Source organism: Homo sapiens, chromosome 11 (genome assembly GCF_000001405.40).
Source record: "Homo sapiens chromosome 11, GRCh38.p14 Primary Assembly".
Classification (NCBI taxonomy): Eukaryota; Metazoa; Chordata; class Mammalia; order Primates; family Hominidae; genus Homo; species Homo sapiens.
This window is the reverse complement of record NC_000011.10, coordinates 72,097,254-72,119,638: the sequence shown is the minus strand read 5'-3', so window position 1 is coordinate 72,119,638 and position 22,385 is coordinate 72,097,254. Positions and strand designations below refer to the sequence as shown.

The 22,385-nt window shown below is 50.3% G+C and overlaps 4 protein-coding genes and 1 pseudogene across 55 annotated transcripts in view, besides 10 other annotated features; 2 read left to right on the top strand and 3 right to left on the bottom strand.

Annotated features, from left to right (window-relative positions):
- Positions 6,061–6,598: an enhancer, noted in NCBI's record as "H3K27ac hESC enhancer chr11:71824087-71824624 (GRCh37/hg19 assembly coordinates)". NCBI's record gives its function as "activates a minimal SCP1, AML or CMV promoter by ChIP-STARR-seq in primed H9 embryonic stem cells {active_cell/tissue: H9 hESC(primed)}" and the evidence as "EXISTENCE:reporter gene assay evidence [ECO:0000049][PMID:30033119]".
- Positions 6,599–7,136: an enhancer, noted in NCBI's record as "H3K27ac hESC enhancer chr11:71823549-71824086 (GRCh37/hg19 assembly coordinates)". NCBI's record gives its function as "activates a minimal SCP1, AML or CMV promoter by ChIP-STARR-seq in naive and primed H9 embryonic stem cells {active_cell/tissue: H9 hESC(naive and primed)}" and the evidence as "EXISTENCE:reporter gene assay evidence [ECO:0000049][PMID:30033119]".
- Positions 6,718–6,935: a silencer, noted in NCBI's record as "fragment chr11:71823750-71823967 (GRCh37/hg19 assembly coordinates)". NCBI's record gives its function as "represses an EF-1alpha promoter that drives an FKBP-Casp9 reporter gene in an ReSE screen in phorbol 12-myristate 13-acetate-treated (for megakaryocytic differentiation) K562 erythroleukemia cells {active_cell/tissue: K562(+PMA)}" and the evidence as "EXISTENCE:reporter gene assay evidence [ECO:0000049][PMID:32094911]".
- ANAPC15 (anaphase promoting complex subunit 15) lies at positions 6,859–13,267 on the top strand. 50 transcript variants are annotated; one of them, NR_171687.1, is made up of 7 exons: positions 6,944–6,989; positions 8,143–8,227; positions 8,358–8,482; positions 9,036–9,095; positions 9,414–9,551; positions 10,298–10,410; positions 10,764–13,267. NR_171687.1 is itself a non-coding variant. In NM_001393446.1 (6 exons), the coding sequence occupies exons 3-6, from the start codon at positions 8,363–8,365 to the stop codon at positions 9,756–9,758; spliced, it is 366 nt and encodes a 121-aa protein (NP_001380375.1). In that variant the 5' UTR covers positions 6,859–6,905; positions 8,143–8,197; positions 8,353–8,362; the 3' UTR covers positions 9,759–10,052. The 50 variants fall into 50 exon arrangements, 46 of the variants coding, with proteins under 46 accessions (NP_001380375.1, NP_001265417.1, NP_001380376.1 ...); NM_001393446.1 differs by lacking the exons at positions 6,944–6,989; positions 10,298–10,410; positions 10,764–13,267 and adding exons at positions 6,859–6,905; positions 9,711–10,052 and having other exon boundaries at positions 8,143–8,197; positions 8,353–8,482; NM_001278488.2 differs by lacking the exons at positions 6,944–6,989; positions 10,298–10,410; positions 10,764–13,267 and adding exons at positions 6,859–6,905; positions 9,711–10,052.
- Positions 6,906–6,965: an enhancer, noted in NCBI's record as "active region_5184". NCBI's record gives its function as "activates an Ori minimal core promoter by ATAC-STARR-seq in GM12878 lymphoblastoid cells {active_cell/tissue: GM12878}" and the evidence as "EXISTENCE:reporter gene assay evidence [ECO:0000049][PMID:35858748]".
- Positions 7,066–7,125: an enhancer, noted in NCBI's record as "active region_5183". NCBI's record gives its function as "activates an Ori minimal core promoter by ATAC-STARR-seq in GM12878 lymphoblastoid cells {active_cell/tissue: GM12878}" and the evidence as "EXISTENCE:reporter gene assay evidence [ECO:0000049][PMID:35858748]".
- Positions 7,137–7,674: an enhancer, noted in NCBI's record as "H3K27ac hESC enhancer chr11:71823011-71823548 (GRCh37/hg19 assembly coordinates)". NCBI's record gives its function as "activates a minimal SCP1, AML or CMV promoter by ChIP-STARR-seq in naive H9 embryonic stem cells {active_cell/tissue: H9 hESC(naive)}" and the evidence as "EXISTENCE:reporter gene assay evidence [ECO:0000049][PMID:30033119]".
- Positions 7,296–7,465: an enhancer, noted in NCBI's record as "active region_5182". NCBI's record gives its function as "activates an Ori minimal core promoter by ATAC-STARR-seq in GM12878 lymphoblastoid cells {active_cell/tissue: GM12878}" and the evidence as "EXISTENCE:reporter gene assay evidence [ECO:0000049][PMID:35858748]".
- The window catches only part of LRTOMT (leucine rich transmembrane and O-methyltransferase domain containing), a 29,933-nt gene continuing 16,404 nt past the window's right edge, over positions 8,857–22,385 (bottom strand). For 2 of the 3 annotated variants that reach the window (NM_001145309.4, NM_001145308.5), the window contains 4 exons: positions 14,627–14,675; positions 13,429–13,703; positions 11,520–11,716; positions 8,857–11,034 (listed from right to left, as the gene is read on the bottom strand). In NM_001145309.4, the coding sequence (NP_001138781.1) occupies positions 10,714–11,034; positions 11,520–11,716; positions 13,429–13,703; positions 14,627–14,675 (842 nt within the window). In that variant the 3' untranslated portion in view covers positions 8,857–10,713. The remainder of the gene's footprint in view (positions 11,035–11,519; positions 11,717–13,428; positions 13,704–14,626; positions 14,676–22,385) is intronic. The other variant, NM_001145310.4, reaches the window with a different exon arrangement.
- Positions 10,043–13,715, bottom strand: TOMT (transmembrane O-methyltransferase). Its single transcript, NM_001393500.2, has 3 exons — positions 13,429–13,715; positions 11,520–11,716; positions 10,043–11,034 (listed from the first exon to the last, which is right to left on the bottom strand). The coding sequence occupies exons 1-3, from the start codon at positions 13,685–13,687 to the stop codon at positions 10,714–10,716; spliced, it is 777 nt and encodes a 258-aa protein (NP_001380429.1). The 5' UTR covers positions 13,688–13,715; the 3' UTR covers positions 10,043–10,713.
- Positions 15,256–15,776: an enhancer, noted in NCBI's record as "H3K27ac hESC enhancer chr11:71814909-71815429 (GRCh37/hg19 assembly coordinates)". NCBI's record gives its function as "activates a minimal SCP1, AML or CMV promoter by ChIP-STARR-seq in primed H9 embryonic stem cells {active_cell/tissue: H9 hESC(primed)}" and the evidence as "EXISTENCE:reporter gene assay evidence [ECO:0000049][PMID:30033119]".
- On the bottom strand, positions 15,469–15,565 carry LOC124902837 (uncharacterized; annotated as a pseudogene).
- Positions 16,187–16,456: a silencer, noted in NCBI's record as "silent region_3713". NCBI's record gives its function as "represses an Ori minimal core promoter by ATAC-STARR-seq in GM12878 lymphoblastoid cells {active_cell/tissue: GM12878}" and the evidence as "EXISTENCE:reporter gene assay evidence [ECO:0000049][PMID:35858748]".
- Positions 16,342–22,347, top strand: LAMTOR1 (late endosomal/lysosomal adaptor, MAPK and MTOR activator 1). Its single transcript, NM_017907.3, has 5 exons — positions 16,342–16,456; positions 20,383–20,528; positions 20,781–20,858; positions 21,224–21,350; positions 21,725–22,347. Exons 1-5 carry the CDS (start codon positions 16,415–16,417, stop codon positions 21,815–21,817), a joined length of 486 nt encoding a protein of 161 aa, NP_060377.1. The 5' UTR covers positions 16,342–16,414; the 3' UTR covers positions 21,818–22,347.
- Positions 16,557–16,636: an enhancer, noted in NCBI's record as "active region_5181". NCBI's record gives its function as "activates an Ori minimal core promoter by ATAC-STARR-seq in GM12878 lymphoblastoid cells {active_cell/tissue: GM12878}" and the evidence as "EXISTENCE:reporter gene assay evidence [ECO:0000049][PMID:35858748]".

The following is a 22,385-nucleotide window of genomic DNA, read 5'->3' as shown; positions in this document are numbered from 1 at the left end:
CCTATTTTCTGTCTCTGAATTTGACTTCTCCAGGAACCTCAGAAAAGTGGAATCCTACAGTATTTGTCCTTTCGCGACTGGCTTATTTCATTTAATATATAGTCTTTGAGGTTCATACATGTATTTGCAACAGGGTTTAGGACAAAATGTTGTTGTAAAGGTTGCTAAAAGTATGACGTAAGGACTGAGAGGAAGCAGAGCAAAGTTAAGACTGAGAAATGTGGTCAAAGTTTCTCCACACCAGCCAAGGAGCAGGCCTTACCACCCACCCCGCAGCACACACCTGAAGCTTCATTTCTCCCCAGCCCCCACTTAGGGCCAGCTGATGTTCCTGGGTCTCCCTGCCTGTATCTGCCTGAGCGTGTATGACTGTGGTTGTCTATCAGGGTGGGAGGATATACGTGTGTACCTGTGCATTTGTTTTCTGTTGGTGCCATAACAAACTACCACAAGCTAAGTGGCTTAAAACAACACAAATTAATTAATTAATTGATTTTTGAGACAAGGTCTCGCTCTGTTGCCCAGGCTGGTCCCAAACTTCAGGGTTCAAGCGATCCTCCTGAAGCAGGGGAAGAGGGAAAATACAGCAGGAGAATAGCAAAGGGAATTAAAATTTGGATCAAGGGCAGAATGAGTAAAAGCAGGGAGCAGAAGCCAGGTGAAGGGGCAGGTGAGCAAGAAGCGAGATAAAAACCAGAACAGCCAAAACAAAAGTGAAAAAGAAGCCCCCATCTGGGCTAAATCCGGACCAAACCTGTTGCGGGCAGCTCCTCAGAGATGGGCATGCACATTAAAGAGAAAAAGTATCCTTAAAATGACCCCGTTTGGTAATTAGCTCATTGAAGCTCATGCATATGGACTGCAAATCACTCATGTACTTAAAATTATGGGATGGAGGTGACACACAAGGGCCAAAGTAACTAAGCAACACATCTATCAATCAAAAAGGCAGACACTGGCTAGAGATTAGGCAGCCTTGGGAAGAGAACACACACACACACACACACACACACACACACACACACACACACACACACACAAAGACCCAGAGTACACAAAACTAATGTTGATCTCATCTGCCAGAGGTCAGTCCACTCTCCCCCTCTAAGAGTGTAATACTGTGCTTAATATCTGTGTGTGTCTGGTCCAGTTCTTTGTTCAGGACACCAAGAGCCTGAAATTACAGAGCACTATCCAGTAACACACCTATCACAGCCTCCCGAGTAGCTGGGACTACAGGAATGTGCCACTGTGCCCAGCAAACAACACAAGCTTATTAACTTACAGTTCTGCAGGTTACAAGTGTAACATGCGTCTCAATTTAGGGTGTCAGGGGCCGGGTGCGGTGGCTCACACCAGCACTTTGGGAGGCTGAGGCAGGCGGATCACCTGAGGTCAGGGGTTCGAGACCAGCCTGACCAACATGGCAAAACCCCGTCTCTACTAAAAATACAAAAATTAGCCGGGTGTGGTGGTGGGCGCCTGTAATCTCAACTACTCGGGAGGCTGAGGCAGGAGAATCGCTTGAACCTGGGAGGCAGAGGTTGCAGTGAGCCGAGATCCCACTATTGCACTCCAGCCTGGGGGACAGAGCAAGACTGTCTCAAAAAAATTAAAAAATTAAAAAAAAATTAGGGTGACAGTAGGTCTTTCTGGAGGCCCTAGGGGAGAATCCGTTTCCTTGCCTTTTCCAGCTTCTAGAGGCCACCTGTGTTCCTTGGCTCATGGCCCTTTCCTCCATCTTCAAAGTCAGCAATGTAGAATCTCTCTGATGCTTCTTCCTTGTCACGTCTTGTTTTCTGACCACAGCTGGGAAAGTTTTATCTGATTTTAAGGATTCATGTAAATAGATTGGGCCCACCTGGATAATCACCCCATGTGAAAGTCCTTAACCTTAATCACATCTGCAAAGTCCCTTTTGCCAGGTAGGATACACACCATAGGATTAGGACATGGGTATCTCCAGGGAGCCTTCATTCTGCCTACCACCTCTGCATGAAAGTGAGGGGGGGTGTGTGTGTGTGTAGGTCTGTGTCTCCTCAGCCTTTGCCTCCAATGCAGAGGGCCTCTCTTCAAACTTTGCATCTATTTTGCTGTAGTCAGAGTGAGGAAACCTTAGCCCATTAAACCTTAGTGAGGAAACCTTACCATATATTTGTGGTAAGCAAACATACGCAAAACCACCATGCAGATAGGGACCTGGCTGGAGCACCTCTCCTGGGGCTGGCTTTCTAGGGAACTGGAAGATAATTCACAGAGATCCCTTCCAACGCATCTATCCATCCCAAACTCAGAGTCAGGTCCAGGGAGGCCACAATGATGGGAAATAAATGAGGTGTTGAGTGACCATGAGGCAGAACAAGCCTTATACTCCACGCTAAGGTGCACTCCCTCAGCTAGCCCACCCAGTGGAGCTCTGCAGCCCCTCCCACCCGACCAGCCTGCCCTCCACACACCATGCTCTCCTGCCTGGGCATTCTCCTTATTCCTTCCAACCACAGCCCCTGCCTAAGGAGGCCCCTCACACCTGGGAGGTTTCCTCTTTCCTCCTCTCTGACTCGAACTATGAAGCATCCTTCATGACCCAGCAGAAGTCTCCCCTGCTCAAGGAAGCCTTTCTCAGCATGTCCCTGTCCTCCTCCAAGGCTGTGCCTTGTCCTTTGAGCACAGGGTACTGTCTCCTGGTCCTGTTTCTTTCACAGTGCACATCACCACGATGGCCACACAACAGGCCCTCGGTCAATGCCATGTCCTGGGCACACCACACCCTTTCAGGCCTCTGCACTTCTGCACATGCTGTCTGCTCTTGACTAGAATATTCTTTCCTAACTCCTCTTGCAAGGTCTCATCTTCTCTGAGGAGCCTTCTCCACCTCCCCTCCCACACTGCTCTTCACTTTTTAACATTCCCACTTTTCTCTTTTTAGAACCTATCCCTGTTATACCATTCATCACGTGAACTATAATTCCATTAGACCCAAGGAAAAAAACCCATCTTATATAAACATTTGTTGAGTGGCTACTCTGTGCTAGACACTGTGCAAGGTGCCGGGGAAATACAGATGAATCACACAGAGATCTGGCCTCAAGGGCCTAATGACTTGCGTTAGTCTGGTATCCACACCATACTGGGTAGTTGCAGAGGACTAGGACTCAAATCGAATTCCTCTGTGAGTCCCCATCGGCAAGCACATATCAGCCCATAAGGAAGATTTGTGGAACAATGCAAGATTTTGACATTCTTGAGTTGTAGCTTCAACTCAGACAAGCCGCTTTACTTTCCTGAGCCTCAGGTTCCTCATCTGCTAAATGAAGGCAGAATCCCCAGGGCTGGGCTAAGGATAAGTGGAGACTATGAGTGGGAAAACTCTCTGGAGACCAACTATCCCTCCATATGTATGAAAGGTAGTGACTGTGACTGTTACATTCTCCCCTGTCCCCTACCAGGGTCAGCCATGCTCCTCAAGGTTTATGGAAGGAATGAGTAAGCAGCTTTCACTAGCACTGAATTCACACCACTCAACTCTGGCCCTTCCTGGATCCTAGAGAATTCTCTGCATAGAATCATGGTTTCCATCTTCAGCCTCTGGGCTCTGGATTTATTGATTTCTGTTGAGAAATCTCCATCCTGACCCTGCTTTCCATTCCTAGGCCCTGGTTTGTATAAATCACAAATAAGGCAAATGTAAAAATCTAAGAATGGAAAGGATCAAGCTAGGGGAATCCCTTCCAGGGACTCACATCAGAGCTGGCGACATGGTTAGATATTATGTTAGAGAACACGGAAGCTTGTGAATGGGGAGACATCTACCTGGGGTCCCCAGCAAGTCGGCAATAAGACAAAGGTGAGACCCAAGATGCCCAGATCCCATCCCATCCACTCCATATAGGGCCACCAAAGACCTTCCCTATCTGGGTCCCCTATCATTCTTTCTCATCTTTCTCCACTCCACATATCTAGTTCTGCCCAGATTCTCAATGTTCTCCAAACATGCCCTTGAATGAAATATGCCTCTTTGTGCACCCTCTTTTCCTACTTATTTACCAGTGGGCTTAACTCCTACTCATCCCTCAAGGCCCACTCAAATGTTTCCTTTTCTGGAACAAAAGTCTAAACTTAGTTTGTTCAGAACCCATTCATCAATCCCTCCTCTGTGTTCTCATGTATTCTCTACATACATTGATTTTAACATTTATTACCCTCCTCTATAATTGTCTATAATTGTCTTAGTACTCACTATACTCTATTTTTCTCTAGGGCAGGAATTATTTCTGCTTCCCCTCTGTCCCCAGGGCCTAGAAAGGTGTCTGGCACTCAGTTGGTACTCAATAAATGTCACCAGCTAACCAGTCATCATTACTTACTGAGCCTGGCTGATGACCCTGAAAAGAAACTCTGTTACTAGGGAATTTCCAGCAGGCGGAATTATCAGGAAGGACGGGGCAAATGGTACCTGAGGTAAGAATCCTGTAAGAAAAAGATGCCGGAGGAGAAACTGATGGAGACACAGGTCACAGAAGGAAGATGAGGAATCCAGGAGAAGGTCATGCTGGGCCCTGGGGACATAGTAACCATTCAGTCCCTGCCCTCAAGGAGCTCATGGTCTGTTGGGGAAATAAACAAAAGCACAATTTTGTACAGAATGAGGCTGCAGTAAACCATTTTCTCCTACCACCCTTTCTTTACATGGCTTCCAAGATACCATCAACTCACCCAGCTTTCTACTTATCTTTTTGGCCTTCCTTCTCCATCTGGTTTGCTGCTTTTCCTAGTTTCCTCAAATTCTGAATATTGGAGGAAACTATTTTCCAACTACATTCACTCCCTTGGTGATCTCATCCAGTCTCATGACTTTAAACACCATCTACATGCCAATGACTCCCAAATGATCTATCCAGCCCAGATCTCTGCCCTGACCTGCAGACTCATATGCCTTCCTGCCGCCCCAACATCTCTACTCTAATGGGCATCTCAGACTCAACACACTCAAACCTAAGCTCCCTGTCAAAAAAAAACCAAACCCCTCATCACCTCCCCATTCCTTCCCAACTCAAAAAAGTGGCAACACCAATCTTCTAGTCGTTCAGCCCAAAAATCGTGGCTCCTTTCTTATTCTGGCATTGTCCATCTGTTAGCAAACCTTGTAGTCTCTACCATCTAAATAAATTCAGAATTCAACCACTTCTCATCCACTACCTCTAGATTATCATAATAGGCTCCCAAATGGTCTCCCTGCTTCTGCCATTGTCTCCCCTACCCCAGTCTATTTGGAGAACAGCCAGAGTAACTCAGTTAAACTGTAAATCAGATTGTGTGGACCCTGTGCTCACAACCCTCCACTGGCTCCCCAACTCCTCATCTCCTACCTATTACTCTCCCTAGAGGACACTATGCCCAAGCCATTCTAGGCCCTCTGCACTTGTATTCTCTCTCTCTGAAATGCTCTTCCACAAATATCAGAAGGCTCTCTGCTCCTTCAGACCTTTACTCAAAAGTCACCTTCCCAGTGACTTTGGCCCCCCAGTCTGAAATAAAACACCTCCCCTGCAAATATTTTATTCCCACTTCTCAGATTTATTTTTTCTCTTATTTACTGCAATCTTACAACTACATATTTTATTTATCTATCTTCTTTATTGTTTACCTCTCTCAGAATGAAGGCTGCATGAAAAGAGGGACTTTTTTGGTCTGTTTTGTTTACTATTGTATACCCACTACTAAGAATAGTGATGGACATATACTAAGGCACTCAGTAGGTATTTGTTGAATGAATGAAAAAGGTAGTCATTTCCAAGAGGCAAAGTTTACTCTTTAATGAAAAACTATAACAAACAGTGCTATTTGGCAATATAATCACATTCAATATGCACAGTACACGACCTCTTGAACAATTCTTATCCAATCTTCACATCAGCCCAGGATAGAAGGAAGGCTGGGCAGAGATTATGATGCTGGTTGACAAAGAAGCTGAGTCCAGAGAGAGGAAAAGGAATTGCCAAAACTCACACATCTGGCCAGGACAGTACTGGAAATGCGGATAACTGCTGTCCCTGAAAGAGGCTGGTAAGTGATGGAGTTTAATAGGAATTGGGTTTGAAGGACCTCTGTTGCCAGAAAGCATGAGTATCTCTAAAGGCGAAGCTGAGTCAGAGGTTACTAGAACAGAGGCATCAGCAAAGGATGGGAGAGGTGACGAGGGCGATCTCTAAGTGTACTTGGCCCAGGCCTGAGGAGGGCAGCTGATTCCCCCAGCAACAGAATGCTGTGCCTGAGGCTAACTAGTCATTCAAGTCTGTACATAATCTCCAATGTCAAAACTCAACAAGCAACCTTAAGAGAGACCACTAAGTCTACTGCATGTCTGCAGGGTTTGGCTTCCCTGGACTGTGAGGTCTTCCAGGGAAGCGACCATATTCCTAGATTTATCCCCAGTTTCTAGCAAGGCCTGGAATATAGTAATATTGTAACTCTAATATTTTTGTTCAGAGCAAAAATAAAAAAGAATGAATATGCTCAAACGGGAAACTGTAGCTGAGAGAGCACAGATAGGAGGGGCCTAACATCAACCAGCAATTCTGAAGTAGTAACAGATTAGTTTTCTGGGATGCAGCAGGACGAATGGCCCTCGCACTAAAAGGTTGCTGTCAGCTCTTCTTCAGAAGGGGTTAACAAGCAAATGGTGACTGGCAACAAAAGGGCAGGGGTTAAACGGGGCAGTGGTTAAACGAGACCGTAGTGCTGGCGCCAGGATGGAGACGCCGACTGGCTGAGACTCAAGGCGGGGCAGATAGGTAGGCGCGGCACACTTCCTTCCCTAACAATGTGACTAAGGTAGGTCAACGTCACATCCGGTTTAGTGGGCGGGAGCGGGGAAAACAAAAGGAGACGAAGGACGCATGCGTTTGGTGAGTCCCGGATTCTGGTGGGTTCTTCCGCTCAGGCTGGGTGAAGCGCTTCCGGGTCGCCGCCGGCAGCAGCCTCCCGGCGCGGTAAGTACAGACGCAAGGCTGCAACCGTCTCCTTGCCCCTTCATTCCTTTTTCCCCCAGAGAAACCCATTTCCTTTGACCCGACTCCCCAGGAGCTCCATATTGAGAGTCCTTAACCCTTAAAGAGCTCCAGCTCATTGGCCGCTTCCTCGAGACTAAGCCCCACCCCGTCACACAAGGTCCGTCATTCATTGGTGTCACTTCCTGTCACCCAGCATTTCTTTCAGTTAATTGGTCCTACCCAGGCCCCGCTTTTTTCGCGTTTAGCAACCCTATAAGGCCAAATTTCTGTCTGAGACCCGCCCTGCTTTCTTTCTGTTGGTCAACTGCATGGTCATTATCGTAATGAGCAAAGAAAGGGCGGTGGCTTTGCGACGGTGGGTTGGGCTTTCGGAGCCGAGATCGCTGGTCTGTCAGTACTTCTTGGACATGAGGGTGTTTACCGTCGTGCCTAATTACGCGGGTTGGGAATCTGAGATACAGGGAAGGGCAGCGGCTGGCCCTGGGTCGGTCAGATAAATTAAGACAAAAGCAGGACCAGGCATCGATTATTTTCTCCTGCTCATCCCTTTCACGGAGGAATTCTAAGCCCCGACACACTGTATGACCTAAAGCCAGTCTCTGCCTGTCGCTGGGCCTCAGTTCGCCTGTCCTAAGTTTAATTCAGATTATCTGGCACTCCTGGTCGGCTCCCTCAGCCGCTCAAAGCTGATTGTACCCTTATAATGTTAGTTCATCCATTCAATCTTCCATCTACTTATTTATCCACTTATTCATGCCTCCTAGAATGTCTTACTGAACCCTGCTTGCATATGCTACAATCCCTCCACCCCGACATTTGGCTGTGATTCATGAGAGGTCGTTAGTGTCCTAAATTTCTGACACTGGGTGGGTGTGGTATGGGCCATCATAAAGGGTCAAAAAGCAGGTTTTAGTGTGTGGAGGAGGTAGGGATAGTTTCAGTAGAACCCTGCTACCTCTAATTTTGTATAATTTCATAATGCCAGTCTGCATTCTGGATTCCTATCCCTACACTTGACTCCCATTCTCATCCCTCCTTGAACAGCCTGCAAACAGCTTTGTTGATCCATTATTTACTTAATTATCAGAATAACTTTGACAGTGGTATAATTGTTATTATCCCCATTTTACAGATGAAGACACTGAGGCTCAGAGAGGTTAAGTGACTCAGCCAAGGTCAAACAGCTAGTAAGTGGTGGAGCCAGGACTCAAAGCCAGGTCTGTCTGATTCCTAGGGGGAGGGGCTGCTTTCCTGCTGTCTTCCACCCTATCCCTAAATCAAATTACAACCAAATTAAAAACAAAAACAAAGCAAAACACATTCACTTGACCCTTTCCCTCAGTCTAGGAGCCATGTCCACTTTGTTCCCCTCACTCTTCCCTCGTGTGACTGAGACTCTGTGGTTTAATCTGGATCGACCCTGTGTGGAAGAGACAGAGCTGCAGCAGCAGGAACAGCAGCATCAGGCCTGGGTGAGTGAGCAGCTAGCACAGCACAGAGACCTCAGCACAGACAGAGACCTCCTTCAGTGGGCCATGACCCAGCCTTACTCCAGAAATCTACCCAGGAAGAGCTTTTTGCCCTGAGCTGGGAATAATCGGGCTGGGAGCCAGGGAGCCAAGGTTCTCATCTTGTGGTACCCTATTTTACAGGGGTACCATGTGACTTCTGGGCCAGATTAGAGCCCAGGCTGCTGACACTCAGCCCAAGCTCTTTTCCCTAAAGCACAGGAAATAATTTTGACTATTAATTGAGGATCTAGCAGATGATGCTTTCTAGGCTGATAAGTCTCTCACTTCATCCTCACCATAATTATACAAAAAAAAGAAGGCTCAGAGAGTTTAAGTATTTGGATCAAGTTCATAAATGGCAGATGACAAGAAAGGGATTGTATCTCCCTGAGAACTGGGAGGAAGCTTCTCCCCAACACGTGTGGGTTGTCTTCTGGGCAGAATGGGCCAGTCCCATGCCCCTGACCTGCCCTACTTGGGCTCTGGCCTTGTTCCTCTGTGCCTTTGCCCACAGCTCCAAAGCATCGCGGAGAAAGACAACAACCTGGTTCCTATTGGCAAGCCAGCCTCAGAGGTGAGTGGCTCTAGCAGGTGGGGCCTGTGTGGGGGCCGCAGTGGACCGAGGCTCTGCTCTAATTCTGAATGTCCTGTCTCTGACCCAGAGCAGTTGTGGTTCTCAGATCTGGGTAAAAGCCTAAAAGGGGAGATAGAAGGGGTGGGCATTGGGCCTAGCATTAAGGTCCTGCAGAACATGCACCAGCCTGCTAGACTCAAGGAGGGAGTGTCGGGGTAGGGGGTCATTCATTGGCCCTAGAGAGAGGCTCAAGTGGGTCAGTTCTTGAACTGGTCCATGCAGGCCTGTAGGGCTTACAGGCTCTGTCCTGCCCACCAGCACTATGATGACGAGGAAGAAGAGGATGATGAAGATGATGAGGATAGTGAAGAGGACTCAGAGGATGATGAGGATATGCAGGACATGGACGAGATGAATGACTACAATGAGTCACCGGATGATGGAGAGGTCAATGAGGTAGGCAAGGGGTATGGGGGAGGGCCTCTGTTCCTGGACCCTTGCTCCTGACCCAGTTGATGGCCAAGGGGTACAGAAACCCTGGATCCAGCCAGGGGCAGGATCTGGGGCTGAGGCTGGCTGAGGCCCCTCCCCACCCACACCCAGCCTCCTCTCCAGGTGGACATGGAAGGCAACGAACAGGATCAGGACCAGTGGATGATCTAGGTAGACAAGGCAGGGTGGCCTCAGGGAGATTCCAGGCCAGCCCAAACTACCCTGCATCCCAACCCCCAACCCCTGCCCACAGAACCAGCTGATGGCCCCAGTGCCTGAAAGTGCCCTTGGGCACCTCCTCAGCTGCTGCCAGGATCTGGTCTCTTTGGCCCCTCCCAGGCCATCAGTCTGCACTTGAAATCCCCAGGGCCTGAAACCTACTCCACCTTCCTGGCCAGTACCTCACCCCTTGATTGCCAGGTCTGGTCTAAGTTTCTTTAATAAAGACAAAGGAGTGATTTTCCACCCATGTCTATTCCCTATTTGTTGGTGGGGCCCAGAGGAGTCCAGCATCTTCTTTTGGGCTTTAGGAAGAGGGCACTCAAGGGACATCAGCCACACCTAATTGGCTAGGTGGGCCAGAGTTAGGGAAGGCCAGGGCATCCCTGGCCCTGGGTCCAGGGTTCTGTGCCATTTTCTCTGGCCCAGCTTGCATCCAGCTATTCCTGCAGGGCGTCTAACTCATTGCCACTTCCTCTGATCCCACCCAGAATGGCATGGGCTGAGGATGGGAGGCTTTCTGAGGCCGAGAACTGGGAGGCCCCTGGAGCTCTCCCATCCAGCTTCCTTCGTGTTAAGAGAGAAGATTAAATCTCAGAGCAAGGTGGGGATTCCCTTGGAGTCACTCAGCAAATCAGTGACAGAGCTGGGTCGGGAGCTCAGGCTTCTTGCTGTCAGTCCATGGTTCTCTCTGGAAAGAGGGGGCCTAGTGAGACCAAGCAGCCTGATAGAACTTGACACTTGAGGTCAGTGTAGAGGCTGAAAGAGGTCAGAGGTGGGAAGAGAGACTCCCTAGCCCTGAGCCCAGCGTGTGTCAAGGCCCCAAACAGGAAAGGGAGGGGATTTTGAGGTCCCTGCTTGGGTGGGGGTGGGGGTGGGCATCAGTAAGTACCCCTGGGCCTGGACCTCAGCCTGGTCCAGCATAGGTGAGCTGAGCTATTCCATCCTTGATGGCAGGGAAGTCTGGAAGGCCAGTGTGGTGGAGGCGGCAGCGGTAGCGGCCACAGCTCTTAGCATACTGCAAGAAGCGGGGTGCACCAGGGAAGAGCACATGGTCAGCCAGCACGGTGGCACCTGCTGGCAGTAGGGCATGGGCCTCCAGCAGCTGCAGGTCCCTCAGGTAACATCGTGGCCGGTGTGCCAGGAGCACCAGGTCTGCCCGACTCAGCTGATACTGGGTGCGTAGGCACGGGATCACGTCCTCTGAGCTGCCCACGATGAGCTCCACCTGTGGGGATAGGGGGAGCTGGAGGTGAGGGTGGGGGGAATTGTTCTCCCAGTCAAGACCCCACCAGGATCTGGCTTACTTCATGCCAGGTCCTGGCTTAGCTTCCCATGAGTGTTCTCACATTTCCTCTGACCTCAGAACCTAAGAAGTCAGGATCAGTATTGTGATTTCCATTCTGAAGAAGCTAAGGTTCAGAGGATGCATGCTTTGCTCAAGGTCACGTAGCTAACAAGAGGCAGAGTAAGAGCTGGACCCAAATTTGCTGGGTTCCAGAGACCTTCCTCTTAGCTGTTTCTTTCGTCATCCGGCAGAAAATAATGTGCAGATGACTTGGGACAGGAGGGCAGGAGCTCACACACCATCCAGCATCACAGTCCCCAGAGTGGAGGTGCTTCCTTCTCCTTAGATGGGAGTCCTTCACAAGGGATGTCTGGGGGCAAGGCCTGGGGTGACAAAAATCTGGGTTGGGGAGATGGGAGGCTGACCATGTGCTCATCAAAGCCGGCCAGGCGGATGAGTTTTTCAGCCACTGCTGCCGTGCGTGGGTCCCGCTCCACAGTAAGAAGGCGACCCCCAGGGGGCAGGGCTCGGGCAATAAGCAGGGTAGAGTATCCACAGTAGGTTCCCAATTCCAGCACACAAGCAGGGGCCTTCTCCTCCACCAGCCGCATCAGGATCTGACCTATGAGGGGAGATGGCTGTTGCAGAAGACATGGGAGATGGATGCAGGGCCCCTGATAAAAGATATCTCAAATGCCTACCTGCCTCACTGCAGCTCCCAACCAGCCGGGGTCTCATCTGTCTCTTGTACCATAGCCCCAGCTGCCCTCCTGGTCCCCGTCTCCTACAGTGTAGTCTTCACACCAGCCCTGGAATCTTTCCAACAAATCTGACCTTATTACTCCTTGGCTCCTGTGAGCTGAAGGCCTTTGGGATTGAACTTGGGATTCTCAGCCTGGCATTCAGGACCTTGGACCTGATCCTATCCTACCTTTCCAGGTTCATCTCTCAGTACTTCCCACCTGTGGCCTGTATCACAGCCATCCCAAACAACTGTGCCCAGAATCCATCAAGCTGTCTCATTCCTTCATGCCACATGTGTATATGTGGCTGGCTTTGCCCTTCCCACCCCCATCGCCATCTGCCTGGCCAACTCAGAACTTCCAGATTCAGTTCAAATGTTGCTCTTTCTCCATGAAGTCCCAGGCAGAAACAACCACCCTATCTTTCAGATTTATGAAAGGTCTCTGTTAGAATTTGTAGTTTCATTCCCCTTTTATTGCTCATCAAATGTATTTCTGATCTTGGAATTGGATGAACTTTTATTTATTTATTTTTGAGACCAAGTCTTGCTGTGTTGCCCAGGCTGGAGTGCAGTAGCATGATCACGGCTCACTGCAGCCTTGACCACCCAGGCTCAGGCAATCCTCCCACCTCAGCATTTCCAGTAGCTGGAACCACAGTTACTCACCACCACACCCGGCTAATTTTTAAATTTTTTGTAGAAACGGGGGTCTTGCTTTGTTACCCAGGCTAGTCTCGAACTCCTGGGCTCAAGTGATCCTCCTGCTTTGGCCTCCCAAAGTGCTGGGATTACAGGCATGAGCCACCATGCCCAGCCAGTGAATTTCTTTTCTTTTCTTTTTCTTTTTTTTTTTTTTTTTGAGACAGGTTCTTGCTCTGTCACCCATGCTGGAGTGCAGTGGCACAATCACAGCTCACTGCAGCCTCAGCCTCCTGGGCTCAAGCAATCCTCCCACCTCAGCCTCCCAAGTAGCTGGGACCACAGGCATGTGCCACCATGCCTGGGTAATTTTTGTATTTTTTGTAGAGATGGGTTTTTGCCATGTTGCCCAAGCCGGTCTCAAACTCCTGAGCTCAAGCAATCTGCCCACCTCGGCCTCTCAAAGTGCTGGGATTACAGGCACCAGCCACCACACAGCCGAATTTCTTAAATAAGACCCTAAAAGCACTTATGCTGGGATTGAGATAAATCCAGGCAGACAGCTACCCTAAATGGTATGTGGAAGCCTCCATGGTGGAGAGGAAAGATGTGGAGACAGATAATTACAAAGCTATGGGTTATCTGCTGAGATGGTTATTCCACTGTGTATTATGGTTCCTTTGAGGCCAGCATTTGTGGCTCATTCATCTCTGTGGCCTCTACCCCTCTCCCTGGCACCTAGCACATTCCTAATACAAAAGAGGTGGCAATAAATGTTTGCTGAATAAATGACTTAGTCCAAGCTCCTCATTTCCAGATGAGAAAAAAAAGAGGCCCTAAAAGAGGATCAAGAACCTGCCCAATTCATCCAGTTAAGCAGCAACAGATCCCAAATATTCCTTCACTGTCTTGGGGGTACTTCTTGGAGCAGAAGGCTAGGGAACACTGACCTTTGACAGGCCCCATGTGGCTCAAGTACTCGCAGCGGCTGCTCCAGTGGTCCAGGGTGGTGAGGATGTGACCAGGGTCACCGGGCAGGGCATGGGTGAGCACGTAGCTGAAGGCCCGCTCCTCGATCCGCAGCCCTGACAGGCAGTCTCGGAGGCTTCGCAGCAAGACCGTGCGCACCAGCAATCGGAAGTAGTGCCGGTACCGCACCAGCAATGTTACCACCAGTGGCAGGAAGGCCAATGCAATGGCAGGGGACATGGTCCCTACCTGGGCCCTGGGGTGGAGGGAGGTAGGGAGGGAATCCCATACCCACAATTTGCCTATTTGTGTAGCTTTTGCCAGTAGCAATTATTATCCTTATATTTCACAAACCACGGCTCAGAAAGGCTAAGTCTTTTGTCCAGAGTCACAGAGCAGAACTGGGATTTGAATCCAGGTTAGTGTGATTCCAAGCCTGTGTACTTTCAAGGACTCTATACTGTCTACTTTCAGCACCCAGCCCCAAACCACCTCTTCCCGGTCCCAACCCCTGGTCCCATCTTCACATTGTTCCCCTGACTTGTTTCTCTTTATCCTTGAAGTCACCCCTTCTTCAGGACCCCTTTCACTAATTCACCTCTGGGATATCTTCCCCCACCCCTACCCTCTGCCTGCCTGGTCTCCTCTGACCACTGCTGTGTAGCAAAAGAGCATAGATTTGCAGTCAAAAACACCTTCACTATCACTGTGCCCTGCCTCAGTAAAATGCAATCAAAATACCCCATAGGGTGTTAGAGTGAGATGTCCTCTTTCCCACCCCAGGACTCTCCCTCTGCCTGCTCTTCCCTGAGGATGGGAGGAGTCTTTGATTCTTTAATAATTCTCCAGCCCCATCTCCTCTCCGCTGTATTCCCCTCTTCTCCTGTGCTGTCTCAGAATTCCCTTCACAAATGTGTACATACACATAACACACAGCACACATTTTCCCTCTACTCAGCTCTTCTCTCCAGGGACCTATGGGGAATGGGCCTCTCCTCCCATGTCCTGGACCATTCTCCTCCTCATCCAGATCTGACCTCCTTGCCGGCCTTCTTGCAAGGCCCCTGGTGATGGCGGGGAGTAAAAATGAAAGAGTGTATGGATGGGTGTGAATAGGTGAGTGATGCGGTGGGCTTGAACTGGTGAGCTTGGGAACCCACAATCCAGGGCCCTGCTTACCTGGGCTGGAGGACCAGAGCACAGGACAGGTCGGGGAGTCCAGGGCCTGCTGCGGGGGATAACCCTGAGGTAGGAGGCTGGAATGGCTTTCAATTATTCATGCTGAGGCTGCTGCTGTCACCTGAGACCTGCAGTTCAAGTTACCAGCCCCAGGGACGAGCTTGAGCTGCCTCCTACCCTTCAGGAACCTCAAAAGATTTACAGAACCTCAGGGTCTTGATTTGAGGGGTTATAAGAGGTATGAGATCTGGTGACTTCTCCAATACTTTGGATCAGAAGATGGGGCATGGGGTGAGCCAAGGTGATGGGGTGACTGTAACATGCTCATTGATATGCAAGTTTTCTGTAAGCAAGGCCATGCCTTGGGCTACAGGGAAGAGTCAGAACCTGTCACTGTGCTCCAGGAACTCCCAAGTTTGGTAGGTGAGACTGACCCAGGAACAGAGAATACAATATAGTGTGATCACTATTGGATGTTCCATGACTACAGGGACTTTGGCTGTTTTGTGAACTGCTGCATATCCAGATATAACAATGTGTGGCACATAGTAGACGCTCAGCAAATATTTGTTGATTCAATAAATGCATGAATTAACACTGGATGAGGATTAAGCATAGGGAGCTGGGCATGTCCAGAGAATGGAGTCAGAGAAGGTAATCAGGAGGACATTGTACTGAGTCTCGAAGACAGTAAAGACAGTAGGCAGACCAGGCTGCATGTACAAAGTCCAGTAGATCAATCAGGAAACTACATTATTTCTCTATGTCCAGTGAAACACATTGCTGACCCCTCCACCCCTCACCCCAGAACATGCAGTGGGAGAGGTGTCAGGCTCTTGTTATGTCAGACGGGTAATGTGCCAAAACAAGATTTGAGGGTGGCACATTTGATACATGCTGGTGAACACCCAATCACACGCTCATGAACAACAAATGGATCACTATACAATCTTGGACGGACTTGGACCTGTGTTCAGGGCCCAAGGGAAGACATGGAGCGGGGGTTAGGAAAAGAGAACTGATGGTCAGCTTTGTGCGTTCGATTACAATGGGTGCTGTTAAAAAAGGCAGAATTAAAGATAAAAGCCTGAAAGCAGAGAGGTCAGTGAGGTGGCTTCTATCTCCTCTACCAGGATTTATCTCCGCTGCGCGTCAGCATGTGAAGGTAGTATAAGGTCCCTTCTTCCTGTAAGTCGCAGATCCCCAGCCCAGGTGGAGAATACACCCTCTGTGTATTCACCCCCAGCCCAGCTGGGCGATACACCCTCTGTGTTCCCCGACTAGGTACTGGTCATCTGGATCATCTGTGTGTGTGCACCCAGACCGTACGATCTGGAGCATCAGGCCTGGATCCCAGTCGCCCCTCGCATGGCATTTAGAAGAGTATATCACAAGGGCATACGAGGGCATTTGGTACGAGTTCGCTCAATGGCCCAGAAAAGTGGCCTAGTGGCCACGAGAACGCATAACACAATTCACGATGGCCACTACTGCCAGTTTAGAGACTGGAAAGATGAAGTCATGTGATCCGCCCCGCCCTTTCCCCGCATCACGTGCTTGCGTGTACGGTTACGCCTTCCCATTGGTTGACAACGATCACGCGCTAGCGGGCGGGACCGGAAGCCGGGGTATTGACTGAGGCGGCCAAGCGGCTCCGGGACAGGGGGTACGGGGGGTGGGGGCGGGTGGTTGCCTGCGGGAGGCCGCCGCGGGTCATGTGACCGGAAGGGCTCCTCACGGACGCCGTCCCTCCTCGGCGCGGCCTGAGCGCCCGGCCCGACCCCGGCCATGGGGTGCTGCTACAGCAGCGAGAACGAGGACTCGGACCAGGTGCGGCCGCGGCAGGCGGGGCTCGGGAATGAGGGCTAAGACACTGGGGCATGGGGCCCAGAAAGAAACCTGCGGAGGACGGGCAGCCGGACTGCAGGGCTCACTGAATACGGAGGCCTGGAGGGGACAGATTACAGAGGAGACGCCAAGCCGGGCTCCTACCCCTGTTAAAGCCCCAGATTTCTACACAGTCCCCGCCTCGGGGTGTGCAGGCAGCCGCCTGTCCGGCTCGCTCCCACCACTTCCGTTTGCTCCTACCTTCAAAACTTTTCAGATTCAAGGATCCTCAGTCTAGGTCCCCGGGAAACACTCCCTTCCCCAGCTTCCTGTGTCTTCTGTGTATTAGTGGGCTTTGCGAATCCATTTTAGGGGTGGGTAAGCTGAGGCCCTGAGTTAGTCTGTCCTGAGATGAATCAGGAATTCGTGTATCGTCTTAGTCCCTGGGGTTGCAGAAGGAAGGTCGCTGCTAGTCTAGGGCCAGGGGACGACTCTGGAAGTTGGTGGCCTTTGAATTGGCCAATGAAGGATTTAATCGATACAGTGAGGACATCGGGACATGTGGGAAATTGTCTGGGAAGCAACAAAGAGGATTTAGCTTTGGCTAGATTGTGGGAAAAGAGAAATGGAGCGGGAAGTTCATTTGGTTCTGAGTTTGGCTTGCCTCAGTGCAGTCTGCCTGGGGCCTGAGGGTTCCTTTAGCTGGAGACATGCCTATTCTGAGAATTTGGCTGTAGATCTGATACCTTTGGAGAAAGGGTTAGGCTGGGGAGACCTGTACAGTTTTAAATTCTCCCTCTTCCTCTTAGTGCATTCTCACTTCTCCCCACACTCTAATCCCTGCCCTGCCTGGCCTGACATTCAAGGATGAAGTCTCAAGTTGCTGTCTACTCTCCTTTTTTGATCGTCTCTAAGCCCGGATTCTACATTTGAACATATAGTAGACCTGAGAGAGTAGAAAGGTTTCAGGTAGCTCACGGTCTAATGGGGAAGATGGTCACAAAAATAGATTATATCACTGGTACTTGGGAAGTAGTTCGTTCTTCAGTGAACGTATTTTGGATTAAGGGCTTAAGCCTAGGAAAATGTCGTTTGTATGGGAAGCAAGGGTGGCTTCTGGTTCTCAATTCTCCATACACCCAATGAACACATATTTCCTTTGCCCTGTGTTAGGCATGTGTTGTGCCTAATACCTCTCACTTCACTTCCACCTTTTTGAGAAAGAGACAACAATAACCCTGCCTACTGGGAGAGCTGTAGCCTAGTGGGAAATTGTCCCTTAAAGCATAATATGGACTCTTGCAGGGAATGAGTCAAGAAGGATTAATGCCGTATGAGAAAGGATACAAGCTTCTACTTGGAAGGGAGAGCTGGGCCTGCTGCTCTCCTGAATCTCTACCTTCTCCTTGGGGGGCTCTCATTTCTGTTCCTAACACCCAGAGAAGGTGCTTAATCACTGCTGGGTGATTTGAGGCCTCATGTAGCAAGGGCCATAACCATCCACCATCCCACAGTCCCTCTTTGAGTTCTTGGGCAGGCCCCTCTCCGACTCTCATCTCTGTCTCTTTATCATAATAAAAAATATACAACACGTTACAGTTTACAAAGGGCCTTCACAGTTATCTAATTTGACTCTTGCCAGACATCCGTCATATTAGTGTGGGTTATGTCTATTGAAAGGTGAGGAAGAAGTTCAGAGAAGCTAAGTGATTTGGCCAAGCTGAGAAGTGCTAGTGCCCAGGTGTTCTGACGCTAGGCCATGTACTTTATCCATGGGGCCAAGCTGTCTCAGCCATGCCCCTAGACCAGGTGGCCAGTCACGGGCAGGCTGCTATGTCTGTGCTAAGGTAGACAGTGAAACCCTGCCTCTTGGGTTACACTAATGCAGAGACAAACCTTGATGTGACAAACCTAACCCATGCTCCACTCGCACTTTGGGAGTGGGGTGATGTTTGTCTGCTCTGAAGTAGGTAGCATGGCCTCTTCTTTAAGTCTGGGTTTCAAGAAAATAACCTTGTTGTTCACTTGATCTTAGCTGAAGGCTGAGAAGTGATCAGCCAACCTTCTTCTTGAAGAACCCCTGATAGGGAAGAGACTACCCTGTCCTGCAGGAAGATCTGTCTGAAGTGGAGCTGGGAGGACAGACACATAGGAAGCTAACTTGGGCCTCATTATGGAGCCAGCTTTCCTTAGAAATACATAGTTTTATCTTTGGCAAACATTTTGTCTTTTTAGCTCTTTAATACTGAGCCTATGTATTTAGGGAGGAAGGGTGTCTGGGAGTTTATAGAGGTGATGGGGCAAAGCCCACAGCTTCTGTCTCTTGCTGTTGGGAACTGGATCAAATTGCCTGAGGACACTTGGGCAACCTAGCCTTGAGAAAGAAGAGTAAGGTGAAAAGGCTGGGCCTCCCTAAGCAGGGCAGGAGGAAGTAGCCCTCTACAAGGAGAGTTGTGGAGTTGTGGGCAGGGGAGCTGCGGCCTGCAGCAGGAAAGACTGAGGAACTGAGATAGGCCTGGAGGGGAGCATTGAGGAGTCTGGCACTGAAGGTTGGTGAGTCAGCATTAGCCAGGATGTCCCCCTGGGCCCATCCTTGGCTTTGTTCAGGGCACTCTTGCTCTTTATGGGTTGGATAGATACCCAGCAGGTCTGTTTTTCTCATTTACTGCTGATACAGCAAGCAAGGATTTGCAGCTGATGGTCTCAAGGCAGGGTCAAATCCAGAAATATTACAGTAGATAGAACAGGGGACTGAAAGAGGACAAGGAGGAAGACCAAACCAATGAGGAAGCTTGGTTTGGTCTTACATTAGTTCAGGGGTTGTGATTATCAGCACAGGCCAGCAGGAACAGGGCTGCTGAAAATTTACATGGGCTACTCAGGTGGTTTAGCAAGGGAGGGAACAGCGCCATTGTTGTTTGTTTTGAGATGGGGTCTTGCTCTCTTGCCCAGACTGGAGTACAGTGGCACAGTCCTAGCTCACTGCAGCCTCAAACCCTGGGTTCATACAGTCGTTGCACTTCAGCCTCCCAAGTAGGTGGGACTGCAGGGCTCACACTACCAAGTCCAGCTAATTTTTTTTTTTTGCAAAGACGAGGTCTTGCTTTGTTGCCCAGGCTGGTCTCAAACTCCTGGACTCAAGCAATCCTTCTGCCTTGGGCTCCCAAAGTGTTGGGATTACTGGTGTGAATCACCATACATGGCTACAGCTGTACTGCTCAGATCAGGATACACCATGTACACTCAGTTTGGTTCTGGGAGTCACGTACAAAAAGAGCACCAGAGCACAGGAGGGTGAACACCTTCGAAGGGACCTGCCTTCAAGAAGGGAACACACTTGTACTGTGTGACCCAGAGCTGGGCTGGGATTCCTGCCCTGACATAATTTGAGAAATGGCCATGGAGAGGTTGGGCTTGCTTTCTCTTGGGGCCTAGGGCTTTGTCTGGACTCGCCAGGGCTTCCATCTTGGAAGCGAACAGCTTTGCTGGGGAAGGCCTGGTCCTAGGGGATGAGGAAGGCTGTTCTTGGGCTCTTGACTTGCACTGATTTCCCCTTTAGATCCCAGTGCTTGCTATGTCTCAGCTCCACTGTCTTCCAGCCTCTAGTATCCTTTCTTTGCCAGGTCCTAGAATGTTTTTCAAGCTCCAGGGCTGTTGCTGACTACCTGCTTTGTGCCTCTGTCCATTTTTTCAGGGCCTCTAGGACTGCCTGGTTCCACTCTCATTTATCCTAGAACACCAACTCAGTTGAGCTCCCAAGGATAGGCAGGAACTGAGTCTTATCTGGCATTCCATAAAGCTGGGCACTTTAGATATTCCTTATAGAAACATTTTTGGTGTTTAAGGTCAGAGCTGGGCTAAGGGTAGCACCCGTGAAAGGCAGGATCTACGGGTCCTGGGGCTGACTTCTCTCCCATGACCACTTCTAGGACCGAGAGGAGCGGAAGCTGCTGCTGGACCCTAGCAGCCCCCCTACCAAAGCTCTCAATGGAGCCGAGCCCAACTACCACAGCCTGCCTTCCGCTCGCACTGATGAGCAGGCCCTGCTCTCTTCCATCCTTGCCAAGACAGCCAGGTAAGTGTCAGAGGACCAGGCCTGGGTCAGAGCTCCTCTATCCATATTAAAGGCTAGGATAGAAGGAGCCAGGCTCAGGACATGGGGGATGGGACAAGGTCACTGGGGAGAGGTGCCTCCATGTCCAGCCCTGCTCCAGTAGGCAGGAGGGAAACTGGTGTCAGATAGCCCTGGAGTTGGTACCTGGCACTGAGTCCTGTTTGTCCTTCTCGGAAGCACCTGTCATGTCATCTCTGTCTCCTCTCCCCATAGCAACATCATTGATGTGTCTGCTGCAGACTCACAGGGCATGGAGCAGCATGAGTACATGGACCGTGCCAGGCAGTACAGGTGAGCACCTGGCCAGCGTGGGTCCCTCAGGCTACTTGGGCTCCCACCCTCCATCACTGTTCCAGCTTTGGAGCCTGGCCCCTAGTCCAAGCTTCTCATTTGGTGCAGCCCTGGAGACTGACCACAGATCACTTGGGTGCTTCAGTAGTTATTCATGTCAGCCCTGTTTACCCTGTGACACTCTTGAGGGCGCTGAGGCCAAGGGAGATGGGCCTAGATTGAGTCTGTGATGAGCTGAGACCTTCCCTCCCAGATACCCCTCCTCGACACCCTGCTTCTCTGGCCTGAGGGGATGAGGCTTACCTGGGCTGGGCAGGGCAGACTGTGGCTTAACTGCCTACCCCCACCCCCTCTCTCTTGGTCAGCACCCGCTTGGCTGTGCTGAGCAGCAGCCTGACCCATTGGAAGAAGCTGCCACCGCTGCCGTCTCTTACCAGCCAGCCCCACCAAGTGCTGGCCAGTGAGCCCATCCCGTTCTCTGATTTGCAGCAGGTGAGACACCCCTCACCTGCCCCTGCCCACCCTTCTCACACTGCCCAGGGTATGGCAGAGGGTTCACCCACTCTGCCTCAGAGGAGGTAGGGAAGGTGGAGTTAGGGAGCCTGGTAGCCTTGTAGGCCCCAGCTCCCTCCCACCTCGTTCTCTTAACTTTTTATGTCTTTCCTATCTCCTTCCTGCAACCTTTATTGTTTCACTCCCCTTTGTTCTTTTCCTTCTGTCTCTCCCATCCCTGTCTTTCTCTTTGCCTTCCTGTTCCCCTTCATTCCCTCCTTCTCCATCACCATCTAATCTCCCCTCCCCATTTTTCCTGATTGCCCTCCTCACCTGTCTCTGTTCCTCTCCTCCCCGGCCCCTCTCTGTCTCAGGTCTCCAGGATAGCTGCTTATGCCTACAGTGCACTTTCTCAGATCCGTGTGGACGCAAAAGAGGAGCTGGTTGTACAGTTTGGGATCCCATGAAGAGAGGGGTCCTTGGACAGCTCTTCTCCTCTCTTCATCCCATCTCTACCCCACCCCCTTGGCCCCCAGCCTCACTGCGGCTTATACAGTACCCTAACCTGCTACTAATCACAGAGAAAAATGTGAAGAAGGAGGAGAAGAGGAAGGCTAGAAGCCTGAGCAAGTGAGGGTAGAACCTTTTGGGACTGGCCTTTGAAGCTCTGGCCAGGGATGGGGTGGGGGCCAAAAGGACAGAGCCTGGTATGTCTTCATAGTCATTGAGAATGTGGAGATACCAGTTTGGGTGGGGGGTGATCACCAGGGGACCTAGGGAGATCCCCTTCCCACCCTCTCTGTTGGCCTCAGAGTCACTCCTGCCCCCTCTCCCTGACTTGGTGCTCACATGCACCTCACTAGGGTTTGTGACCAGGGTCTGGATGAGCTTGAATTTGAATGAATTGAGTTTGTATTTCTAGAACCCTGGGTTTTTACATGTTTGGTCTTTTTTTGTTTTGGTTTGTCACCCTCGATAAAGGAAGTATATTCATCCATGTGCTGGTTCTGGCCCCTCTGTTCTACCCATTCTACT

Excerpts from the sequence above, each read along its gene's own strand:
- ANAPC15 (NM_001393430.1), top strand. The coding sequence starts at position 8,363 with ATGTCCACTTTGTTCCCCTCACTCTTCCCTCGTGTGACTGAGACTCTG. Across the intron at positions 8,483-9,035 it reads AACAGCAGCATCAGGCCTGG|CTCCAAAGCATCGCGGAGAA; the intron begins GTGAGTGAGCAG and ends CTTTGCCCACAG. Across the intron at positions 9,552-12,033 it reads ATGATGGAGAGGTCAATGAG|GTTCATCTCTCAGTACTTCC; the intron begins GTAGGCAAGGGG and ends CTACCTTTCCAG.
- LAMTOR1 (NM_017907.3), top strand. The coding sequence starts at position 16,415 with ATGGGGTGCTGCTACAGCAGCGAGAACGAGGACTCGGACCAG. Across the intron at positions 20,529-20,780 it reads ATCCTTGCCAAGACAGCCAG|CAACATCATTGATGTGTCTG; the intron begins GTAAGTGTCAGA and ends CTCTCCCCATAG. Across the intron at positions 20,859-21,223 it reads GACCGTGCCAGGCAGTACAG|CACCCGCTTGGCTGTGCTGA; the intron begins GTGAGCACCTGG and ends TCTCTTGGTCAG.
- TOMT (NM_001393500.2), bottom strand. The coding sequence starts at position 13,687 with ATGTCCCCTGCCATTGCATTGGCCTTCCTGCCACTGGTGGTAACATTG. Across the intron at positions 11,717-13,428 it reads CCACATGGGGCCTGTCAAAG|GTCAGATCCTGATGCGGCTG; the intron begins GTCAGTGTTCCC and ends CTCCCCTCATAG. Across the intron at positions 11,035-11,519 it reads CCGGCTTTGATGAGCACATG|GTGGAGCTCATCGTGGGCAG; the intron begins GTCAGCCTCCCA and ends CTATCCCCACAG.